A 12742-nucleotide genomic window follows, 5' to 3' on the forward strand; every position below is an offset into this window, starting at 1 on the left:
GGAGGTGATGATCATGATCGTACAGTCCCTGAGACCTGCCCACTGATATTTGTCATCCATGAGACTGTTAATGCCCACTGGGGGCACGGTGGGGGAGGACTTGGAGGTTGTCATCAGCAGCAAGAAGTTACCTCTAGGGTATTGACTCATTCGAAACGTGGTGGCTCATGCCTGTAATCCCAGCACTTTGGGAAGCTGAGGCAGGGGGATCAGTTGAGGCCAGGAGTTCAAGACCAGCCTGGGCAACATGGTGGAATCCCTTTTCTACAAAAAGTACAAAAACTAGCCGGGTGTGGTGGTGGGCACCTGTAGTCCCAGCTACTCAGGAGGCTGAGGCGGGAGAATCGCTTGAACCCGGGAGGCAGGAGAGGCGGAGGTTGCAGTGAGCCGAGATCACCCCACTGCTCTCCAGCCTGGGCAACAGAGTGAGACCTCAGGTGATCCACCCGCCTCAGCCTCCCAAAGTGTTGGGATTACAGGCGTGAGCCACCACACCTGGCCAGCTCACATTTATTTCAGTATTTGATATGAGAAGTGTTTGGGGGTCTTTATTTAGAAGTTTGGTGATATTTTGGTGATCAGAAATATGCCATAGGAGCTTAACCCTTGTTATGTCAATTAGCCTATGGAAAGATTGGTTTTTGTTATATGTTGTTTCTCTGAAATTCAAAGTTTCCAAGAACCTATGGAGAATGTTAAGTGAGGACTTCCTGTATACCAGATGAGTTGAAGAAAAGAAAATTTCAAGATGTGAGTGAGAAAGCAACTAGGGTTTTACAATGAGATCTCATCTTTGTCCAAAAAAAAAAAAAAAAAAAAAAAAAAAAAAAAAGCCGGGCGCGGTGGCTCACGCTTGTAATCCCAGCACTTTGGGAGGCTGAGGCAGGCAGATCACCTGAGGTTGGGAGTTCGAGACCCAGCCTGACCAACATGGAGAAACCCTGTCTCTACTAAAAATACAAAATTAGCCAGGCATGGTGGCACATGCCTGTAATCCCAGCTACTCAGGAGGCTGAGGCAGGAGAATCACTTGAACCCGGGAGGTGGAGGTTGCGGTGAGCTGAGATCGCGCCATTGCACTCCAGTCTGGGCAACAAGAAGGAAACTCCATCTCAAAATAAATAAATAAATAAATACAACCCAACCGGGGGATGGGAGAGGGAGAGCATTAGGAGATATACCTAATGTAAATGACAAGTTAATGGGTGCAGCACACCAACATGGCACATGTATACATATGTAACAAACCTGCACATTGTGTACATGTACCCTAGAAGTTAAAGTACATTAAAAATATATATATATATATATATATATATATATATATATAAAATACAACCCAACCAAAAACAGTTCACATATGTGTTGGTTGTGTGCCCTTGAGAAATTTCCTTAGCTTCTCTGTTTGTCAACACCATGGAGATAATAACAGTATGGGGTTTTTGTAAAATATAGTGTGTATGTAAAGTCCTGGTCCTTGCTTTGTAGTAAATGTTCAATACATGTCAGCAACTTATCAGAAAAAGGCATGGAAGGACATTGCCAATCGAGAAAAATGATAAGACAAGTCTCAATCATTTTAGGTTTATTTGCCAAAGCTAAGGAAGTGCGCCCATGACACAGCCTCAGGAAGTCCTAATGACATGTGCCCAAGGTGATTGGGACACAGCTTGGTTTTATACATTTTAGGGAGACATGAGACATCAGTCAATATATGTAAGAAGTACACTAGTTTCATGCAGAAAGACAGGGACAACTCTTGAAGCTGGGAGGGGGCTTCCAGGTCACAGGCAGGTGAGAGAGAAATGGTTGCATTCTTTTGGTTTCTGATAAGCCTTTCCAAAGGAGGCAATCAGAATATGCATTAATTTCAGTGAGCAGAGGGATGACTTCGAATAGAATGAGACAGATTTGCCCTGAGCAGTTACCAGCTTGAAGGGGCTGAAGATATTTTCCTTTCACAACATAAACCAGGATGCAGAAGCTGGTTACCAGGTGGAAGGAGGAAAGAAAACAAAATAACATTAAAATAGATAGCTGTGAAAAATCATTATAATAGCATAAATATTATGATCCACTTTGGTAGAATTACGTGTGTGTGTGTAGTGCTAACTGTACAGTGGTAGGATTTCAAGTCATTAATAATTTTTTCTTTTTTTCTTTTTCTTTTTCTTTCTTTTTTTTTTTTTTTTTTTAATATGGAGTCTTGCTCTGTCACCCAGGCTGGAATGCAGTGGCATAATCTCAGCTCACTGCATGCAACCTCTGCCTCCCAGGTTCAAGTGATTCTCCTGCCTTAGCCTCCCAAGTAGCTGGGATTATGGGTGCATGCCACCACACCCGGCTAATTTTGTGTTTTTAGTAGAGATGGAGATTCGCCATGTTGGTCAGGCTGGTCTCGAACTCCTGACCTCCAGTGATCCACCTGACTCAGCCTCCCAAAGTGCTGGGATTACAGGCGTGAACCATTGCACTTGGCCTTTTTATTTTTATTTTTCTTTCTTTCTTGTTTTTTTTTTTTTTTGAGATAGAGTCTCGCTCTGTCACCCAGGCTGGAGTGCAATAGTGCGATTTCGGCTCACTGTAACCTCTGCCTCCCAGGTTCAAGTGATTCTCCTGCCTTAGCCTCCCAAGTAGCCGGGATTACAGGCGTCCGCCGCCATGCCCAGCTAATTTTTTGTATTTTTAATAGGGATGGCGTTATGCCATGATGGCCAGGCTGGTCTCAGAGTCCTGACCTCAGGTGATCTGCCTGCCTTGGCCTTCCAAAGTGCTGGAATCACAAGCGTGAGACACCGCGTCCAGCCCCAAACCATTTGAAAGTTAGCTGCACACAGTAATACCTTTCAATTCTAAATAATTCTAAATAATTCCCTAATATTCTAAATACTTCCCTAATATTGCTTAATATCCAGTCCATATTTAATTTTCCCCAGTTGTCCTATACATCTTTTTTTTTTTTTTTTTTTTTTTTTTGAGACGAAGTCTCACTTTGTTGCCCAAGCTGGAGTGCAGTGGCGAGATCTCGGCTGACTGCAACCTTCACCTCTCGGGTTCAAGCGGTTCTCCTGCCTCAGCCTCCCGAGTAGCTGGGACTACAGACATGTGCCACCATGCCTGGCAAATTTTTGTATGTTTAGTAGAGACAGGGTTTCACTATGTTGACCAGGCTGGTCTTGAACTCCTGACCTTGTGATCCGCCCCCCTCGGTCTCCCAAAGTGCTGGGATTACAGGCATGAGCCACTGCGCCCGGCTCCCATACATCTTTTATAACTTTTTTAAAACACAAGACTAAGTCCAGGCTCATTTATTCCATACGGTTGCACCTCTTTAGTCTGTTAAACTAAAACAGTGTGTTCATTTTATTTTTATTAATTAATTATTTGTTTTTTCAGACGGAGCCTCCCTTTTGTCATCCAGGTTGGAGTGCAGTGGCACGATATGGCTCAATGCAACCTCTGCCTCCTGGGCTCAAGCGATTCTCTTGCCTCAGCCTCCCAAACAGCTGGGACTATAGGCACCCACCACCATGCCCGGCTAATTTTTGTATTTTTAGTAGAGAGAGGGTTTCGCCATGTTGGCCAGGTTGGTCTCGAACTCCTGACCTCAGGAGATCCACCTGCCTTGGCCTCCCAAAGTGCTGGGATTATAGGCAGTGTGTTCATTTTAAATATGCCGACCCCCAGCACTTAAAGACGCCTGTAATCCCAGCATTTTAGGAGGCTAAGGCAGGAGAATCACTTGAGTTCAGGAGTTTGAGATCAGCCTGGACAGCATAGTGAGACCCCCTTCAATCTCTACAAAAATAAAAATAAAAATATTAGGCAGGCATGGTGGCAGTGTTTTGTTTTGTTTTGTTTTGTTTTGTTTTTGAGACAAGGTTTCACTCTGTCACCCAGGCTTGAGTGCAGCAATGCAATCTCAGCTCTCTGTAGCCTTGGCCTCCCAGACTCAGATGATCCTCCCATCTCAGCCTCCTGGCAGATCACTTGAGACTGGGAGTTCAAGACCAGCCTGGGCAACATAGCAACACCACCTCTTGATTATAACATTATTACTTTTTGAAAAATGCCACCAGTTCATGTATTTAGACAACTTTATCACTATTGCTCAGGGGAAAAGCCTGTCTTGGTCTAGGAGAATTCCACAGAACATACTTTTATTTGGTAAAGTGGGAAATTCTAGGATCTGGTAGTGCATTAATCTAGTTACCAAAATGATACCACTCATACCACGCTTGGATTAGTAACTTTTCAAATAATTTGGAAACAAACAAAAAAACCGTTTAACATTAAAATTGAAAATAATTCCAACTTTGTTTCACTTGAAGAAGGCGGGTCCCAATCCTGTTGTGTTGCCAGTGTCCACGTTCCAGCTTTTTGCTAATCAACAAAGCCATCCTTTCTGTCTCACAAACTGTTCCCTGGACGTTTCACAATCTTTGTTGCACGCATTAGGGCTTTGTGGGTGATGATAAAAAGGGGATGTTTTGTTTCGTTTTATCATTAGGACCTTTAAAAGAGTAGCAAGTTATTCTGCTGGACTTCCCAAAATGTAGCTGGGAAGAACAATATAGCCGATCAAAAGCTGAAAATTACTTTCAAGGACTCAGGAAGGGAACGTGTGGTACGTGCTGCATGGTATCTGTTAAAATAGCCACTGTGCTGAAATCCCTTTGTGGGGAAAGGTAGAGATTTTTACAAATTCAAGACAAAATGTTACTTCTCTGGGTATGACCACAGTAACAAGGACACAGAAAAATAGGTCAGAACCAGAGGAAAGATGGGGTTATCTGTCCTGAGAATCAAAGCCTCCTATGGATCCTCACTCTGAGAGTGCCTGGGAATAAGAAGCTGAGTTTCATTGACAGCAGCAGGAAGTGCAGAGTGAGAAAAGCAGGAAGAAAGTTCTAGTAGCCACAGAAGTTAGTTGCTTTGACCACGGGCATGATACCAGAATTTCAGAAGTGACAGAAAAAGCAGGCAGACAGATGGCAGAGATGTTTGCTGGAACCCTCAAGCCCTAAGGAAGAGTCTTGATTATGTTATCATCACTTCTGAACACTTTAGTGACCATAGCTTTCAGTCTGTGAGGAAAAGCCCTGCTGGCCTTTGAGACTGGTGTGAGGGACTGTCCTGCTCTGGGAAATGTGGGAGGGCTAAATCGGAAAAGCCCAGGCAGGGTTTCTCTGGGCCACATTGGAAGAAGAATTGTTTTGGGCCACACGTAAAATGCACTAATACTAATGATAGCTGATGAGCTAAAAAACAAAACAAAAAAAACAAAAAAAAACCACAAAACATCTCATAATGTTTTATTTTAAGAAAGTGTTGGGCCACATTCAAAGCCGTTCTGGGTCACATACGACCTGCAGGCTGAGGGTTGCACAAGCTTGGCCTAGGGTTTCTTGGTGAGATGAAAGCTGTGATGGGGCTATTGAAGCCTAAAGCATCATTTTTCACTGTTGTTTTGGAGGGTAACCAATTAGCATTTTCTGCGTGGTTGTTTGGGCATCACAAGAAAAGGGCTTCTGAGAAAGCCCCGGCTCCTGGGACAACAGCACAGGTCACACCTTCAACCTCCAGCCCCTGCAATGCGCAAGGAGAGAACAATCATGCTTCCTGTGGCCATATTGGCACGATTGTTCCAACACCTTTATCACGGGCCATGGGTCACGGAGGGTCTCGGGCCCTGTCTGGCTCCTTCTTAGAATGCACATTTTCACAGCTCATGGGGCAGGTGCTGGTGAAACTGGCCCCTTCCCCAGGGAGCACTGATGCATTTCTAATACCAGGATGAAAACCAGTGCCAGGCCATGGAGACAAGCGATTTCTCAAATGCTGATGTCTTGCAGATGTAGTGGCCTGAATCTAGTTTTTTTTTTTTTTGAGACTGAGTTTCGCTCTGGAGTGCAGTGGCTGGAGTGCAGTGGCTCGATCTTGGCTCACTGCAACCTCTGCCTCCCAGGTTCAAGCAATTCTCTTGCCTCAGCCACCCGAGTAGCTGGAACTACAGGCATGTGCCACTACACCCAGCTAATTTTTGTATTTTTAGTAGAGACGGGGTTTCACCATGTTGGTTAGTCAGGAGGGTCTCAATCTCTTGACCTCCTGATCCGCCCGCCTCAGCCTCCCAAAGTGCTGGGATTACAGGCTGAGGCACTGCGCCGGCCTTTTTTTTTTTTTTTTTTAAGAGACATGGTCTGGCTATGTTGCCCAGGCTGGGGCACAGTGGTGTGACCTTGGCTCACTGCAGCCTTGACCTCCTGGGCTCAGGCAATAATTCTCCCACCTCAGCCTCCAGAGTAGCTGGGACTACAGGCACATGTCACCATGGCTGGCTAATTTTTTAATTTTTTGTAGAGACAGGGTCTCACTATGTTACCCAGGCTGGTCTTGAACTCCCCGCCTCAAGGGATTCTCCCATCTAGGCCTCCCAAATCATTAGGATTACAGTTGTAAGCCACAACACCCAGTCATGGTCTGAATCTGTAACTCACTATCCCAGTTATGACCCCAGGAAGCCTCAGATTTGCCATGTTAGAGTCTGTGTGGCCATCTGGTTTCGTGGGGCTGATGAAGATGTTTCTTAGCAGTTCTTAAATTCCCATGATGAGACATTAGCAATTGAGGCCCTTAAAGAGTTGTCTCCAACAAGCATAAGACAACCCAGTGTCTCACCAAAAAATTTCCCCCAGACTTACTTAAATACAGAAGGTGGCAGGGTACAGTGGCTCATGCCTGTAATCCTAGCACTTTGGGAGGTCAAGGTGTAAGGATCCCCTGTTCAAGACGAGCCTGGGCAACATAGCAAGACCCCATCTCTACAAAAAATTAAATAATAATAATAATAATAATAATAATAATAATAATAATAATGGTAATTAGCCTGGGCTGCAGTGAGCCATGAAGTGTGGAGACTTACTTGAGGCTGGGGTGTTGAGGCTGCAATGGGCCATGATCATGCCACTGCATCCAGGCTGGGTGACAGAGGGACACCCTGTCTCAAAATAATAATAATAATAATCTGTACATTGTGCCACTGCACTTACTCCTGCCTGGGTACACTCCAGCCTGAGTGACAGAGCAAGACTGTCTCACAGAAAAACAAAAGAAAAAATGCACAAAATATGTACAGATTTTTAACAAAATGTGTACAGTTTTTTTTTTTTTTTTTGAGACAGGGTATCACTCTGTCACCCAGGCTGCTGAATGGCAAAATCATGGCTCATTGCAGCCTTGACTTCCCAGCCTTAAGTAATTCTCCCTACCTCAGCCTCCCAAGTATCTGAAACTACAGGAGTGGATCATCGCTAATTTTTGTTTTGTTTTGTTTTTAGTAGAAACTGGGTTTTGCCATGATGCCCAGGTTGTTCTCGAACTCCTGGGCTCAAGTGATCCGTCCATCCTTGGCCTCTCAAAATGCTGGGATTACAGGTGTGGCTAACTTTTTTTTTTTTTACTTTTTGGTAGAGATGGGGTCTTGCTATGTTGCCCAGGATGGTCTTGAACTCAATCGATGCTCCCACCTTGGCCTCCCAAAGTGCTGAGATTACTGGCATGAGCCACTGTGCCCAGCCCATGTATAGAATTTTTAAAAAATGTATTATTTATTATTATTTTTTGTTTGTACAGAATTTTTATGATAATAATTGCAAAATGCCAATGCAAAAAATCAAAGGACAAAATCAATGTAGAGATATACCATGTCCAGGAGTTAGTAAAGTCAATACAATAAAGATGTCAGTCCTCCTAAGAGGATCTATAGGCTTAATGCAATTCCTACCAAAATCTCAGCAAGGTTTTTTTTGTAGGCACAAGCAAGCTTACTGTAGAATTAATATGGAAAGCAAAAGAACTAGAATGGCTAACACAATTTGGAAAAGAAGAATAAAATGAGTGGGCTCACTCCACTTGATGTTAGGGCTTACTGTATAGCTATAGTAATTTGGGTGGTGTGGTATTCGTGAAGGAATAAACATCTAGATCAGTGGAATGGAATAGAGAGCTCAGAAAATAGATACACACACAAATTTTATTTTATTTATTTTTTTGTGTGTGTGTGATGGAGTCTTACTCTGTCTCCCAGGCTGGAGTGCAGTGGTACAATCTCGGCTCACTGCAACTGCCTCCTCTTGGGTTCAAGCAATCCTCCCACCTGAGTCTCCCAAGTAGCTGAGATTACACAAGCGTGTGCCACCACACCCAGCTAATTTTTGTACTTTTAGTAGAGATGGGGTTTCACCATGTTGGCCAGGCTGGTCTCGAACTCCTGACCTCAGTGATCCGCTGGCCTCAGCCTCCCAAAATGCTGGGATTACAGACATGAGCCACCACACCCAGCCTAGCCACCAGATTTTTGACCAAAGGTGTAAAAGCAATTCAATGGAGGAAATACAGTCTTTTCAACAAACGGAGCTGGAGCTATTGGACATCCACGGGCAAAGAAAAAAAAAAAAACCTTGGGCACACTTTATAGAAAAACTACCTCAAAGTGAATCAGAGTTAAATGCAAAATGTCAACCTGCAAACTTTTAGAAAAAAAAATGTAGCAGAAAATCTTTGGGGTCACAAGCTAGGCAGACTTCTTAGACTTGACACCAAAAGCATGATCCATAAAAAAATTGGATTAACTGGACATCATCAAAATTTGAAACTTTTGGCCAGGTGTGGTGTGGCTCATGTCTGTAATTGTAGCACACTGGGAGGCCCAGGAAGAACTGCTTGAGACCAGGAGTTTGAGAGCAGCCTGAGCAACATAGTGAGACCCCGTTTCTACAAAACAAAGAAACAAACAAAAACTAAAAAACTTTTGCTCTGCTGAGGACCCCATTAAGAGGATGAAAAACATCTGCAAACTACATACCCTATGAATGACTAGGATTTTGAATATATAAATAACTTTCAAAATTCAATAGTAAACAAAAAATCCAATGAAAAAATCTCTACAAGAGATGAACAGACAATTCCCAAAAGGATATACAGATGAAAAATATTCACATGAAAATATATTTTAAGGGCTGTGTGTGCTGGCTCACCCTTATAATCCCAGCACTTTGGGAGGCCAAGGTGGGAGTATCACTTGATCCTAGGAGTTCGAGGCCAGTGTAGGCAATATGGCGAGATGCTGTCTCTATTAAAAAAAAAAAAAGAAAGAAAATTAGCCAGACATGGTGTTGTGCGCCTGTGGTCCCAGCTACTCTGGAGGCTGAGGTGGGAGGATCACAAAAAATACAACCCTGTACATGAATGTTCATAGCAGCTTTATTTGTAATAGCCACAAAGTGAAACAGCCCAAATGCCTTTTCAACAATAGGGATGAATGTTTATCTCTGTGATATGTCCATACTATGGAACAGTGCTCAGCAATACAAAGGAGCAAACCCTTGATACATGCAACGATTTGGATGGATTTCCACGAGATTATGCTGAGTGAAAAAGCCAATCTGAAAAAATTGCATATTGTATGATTTCTTTTATACAATAACCCTGAAATAAGAAAATAGAGATTAGGTGCTGCGAGGGATTAGGGTGGTGGAGAAGGTAGGTGTCTGTTCCATTTATAAAGGGGTAGCACAAGAGAGCTTTGTGGGGATGGAAGCCTTCTCTGTCTTGAATGTGGTAGTGGTTACATGTGAAATAACTGAATGGAATTAAACTCACACACATAAGTGCACACAAAACTGGTGAAATCTGAATACGCTCTGGATTGCAGCAATGTTAATATCCTGGTTTTGACATGGTACTATAGTTATGCCGGATGTTACCATTTGGGGAATTGAGTGAAGAGTGCATGGGTCCTCCCTAGATAATTTTTGTTACCACTGCATGTGAATTTATCATAATAATAATAACATTATTATTATTATTATTATTATTATTTTGAAACAAGGTCTCGCTCTGTCGCCCAGGCAGGAGTACAGTGGCATGATCTGGGCTCACTGCAACCTCCCCTTCCTGGGTTCAAGTGATTCGTGTGCCTCAGCCTCCCAAGTAGCTGGGATTACAGGGGTGTACCACCACAACCGACTAAGTTTTGTATTTTTAGTAGAGACAGGGTTTCCCCATGTTGCCCAGGCTGGTCTCAAACCCCTGACCTCAGGGGATCCACCCACCTCAGCCTTTCAAAGTGCTGGGATTACAGGCGTGAGCCACCAGGCCTGGCCTTCACTTTTTTTTTTTTCCAAGACAGGTTCTCCGTCGGTTGCCCAGGCTGGAGTGCAGTTGCACAATCACAGCTCACTGCAGCCTTGACCTCTTGGGTTCAAGCGGTCCTCCCACCTCAGCCTCCTGAGTAGCGGGGACTGCAGGCTCACACCAACAGGCTCAGCTAGTTTTTATATATTTTGTAGAGCCAGGGACTCCCTATGTTGCCCAAGCTGGTCTGGAACTCCTGGGCTCAAGCAATCTGTCCACCTCAGCCACCTAAAGTGCTAGAATGACAGGCATGAGCCACTGTGCCCGACTAGAAAGGATATTATTGAGACAAGTGGTAAAACTTGAATGGAGTTTGAGGATTAGATGGTAGCAACATATTACATCATTTCCTGATTTTGATGGCTGTATTTTGGTTATATAAGAGCACGTTCTCATTTGTAGGAAATACACATTAAAGCATTCAGGGCTGATGAGGCATCAGGTTAGCAACTTAATTTTTTTTTTTTTTTTTTTGAGATGGAGTCTTGCACCGTTGCCTGGGCTGGAGGGCAATGACACGATCTTGGCTCACTGCAACCTCTGCCTCCCGGGTTCAAGTGATTTTCCTGCCTCAGCCTACCGAGTAGCTGGGATTACAGGCGCCCGCCACCACGCCCAGCTAATTTTTTGTTATTTTTAGTAGAGATGGGGTTTCACTATATTGGCCAGGCTGGTCTTGAACTCCTGACCTCGTGATCCACCCCCCCACCACCCTTGGCCTCCCAAAGTGCTGGCATTACAGGCGTGAGCCACCATGCATGGCCTTTAATTTTTTTTTTTTTCTAACCCAAGTATGTGACCAAGCACTTTAATTTTAAGTAGTTCAAAAAGAAAAGTTATGTGTACTATACCTGTGACTTTTCTGTAAGCTTGGGATTTTTTCAAAGCAATATATTGTTTAAAACATCAACCAAGGTTATCTGCACAATTTTTTTTTTTTTTTTTGAGACAGAGTTTCATTCTTGTTGCCCAGGCTGGAGTGCAATGGCACGATCTCGGCTCATTGCAACCTCTGCTTCCTGGGTTCAAGCAATTTTCCTGCCTCAGCCTCCCGAGTAGCTGGGATTACAGGCGCGTACCACCACACCGGACTAATTTTTGTATTTTTAGTAGAGATGGGGTTTTGCCGTGTTGGCCAGGCTGATCTTGAACTCCTGACCTCAGGTGATCCACCTACCTTGGCCTCCCAAAGTGCTGGGATTACAGGAATGAGCCACTGCGCCAGGCCTGTTTTTTTGTTTTTGCTTTTTGTTTTGCTTTGTTTTTGAGACAGGATCTCGCTCTGTTGCCCAGGCTGGAGTGCAGTAGCGCTATCTCAGCTCACTGCAGCTTCTGCCTCCTGGGTTCAAGCGATTCTCGTGTCTCAGCCTCCCCAGCAGCTGGTACTACAGGCGTGTGCCACCTCGCCTGCCTAAGTTTTGTATTTTTGGTAGAGACTGGGTTTCACCATGTTGCCTAGGCTGGTCTCGAACTCTTGACCTTAAGTGATCCTCCCACCTTGGTCTCTCAAAGTGCTGGGATTACAAGCATGAGCCACCACACCTGGCACTTTTTATTTTTTTAAACTAAAAAAGAAAGGCTAGGCTTGATGGCTCAAGCCTGTAATCCCAGTACTTTGAGAGGCTGAGGTGGGAGGATTGCTTGAGGCCAACAGTTTGAGACCAGCTATGCCACTTCATACGCTTGCTATATTGATAGCAAGACCCTGTCTCTACAAAAACTTTAAAAATTAGCTGGGCGTGGTGGTGCATGCCTGTAGTCCTAGCTACTGAGGAGGGTGAGGTGGGAGGAAGGCCTGAGACTGGGAGGTAGAGGCTGCAGTGAGCTATAATCCAGCCACTGCACTTCAGCCTAGGCAACTGAGTGAGACTCTGTCTGTAATTTAAAAACAAAAACAAACAAAAACTACCTAGTGGAATCTGTAAGATACAGCTAAATTGAAACAAGAAAAATCATTGCCTCAAAAACTTACCTTAACAAGAAAAAAGTGATGATGAATGAATTGACTATCCAATTCAAGAAGGAAGAGGGGACGGGGCGCGATGGCTCACGCCTGTAATCCCAGCACTTTGGCAGGCCGAGGCGGGCAGATCACCTGAGGTCAGGAGTTCAAGACGAGCCTGGCCAACTTGGTGAAACCCCGTCTCTACTAAAAATACAAAAGTTAGCCGGGCGTGGTGGTGCATGCCTGTAATCCCAGCTACTCGGGAAGCTGAGGCAGGGGAATCACTTCAAACCCAGGAAGTGGAGTTTGTAGTGAGCCGAGATCGAGCCACTGCACTCCAGCCTAGGCGACAAAGTGAGACTCCTTGTCGAAAAAAAAAAAAAGAAGCAGAAGGAATAAATAGATAAAAGAAGAGATTAAATTATAAAATTGAAAAAGCAATAGCCCAAATATATAATTTCAAATAATTTTCCTTTGGACAATAAATATGGATAAGTCATTAGTGAATTAATTTGAACAAATACAGATAGTAAGGAGTACAAGAGAAGGGCCAGATGCAGTGGCTCATGCCTGTACCTTGGGAGGCCAAGGCGGGCGGAT

Source organism: Homo sapiens, chromosome X, assembly GCF_000001405.40.
Source record: "Homo sapiens chromosome X, GRCh38.p14 Primary Assembly".
NCBI classification, from domain to species: domain Eukaryota; kingdom Metazoa; phylum Chordata; class Mammalia; order Primates; family Hominidae; genus Homo; species Homo sapiens.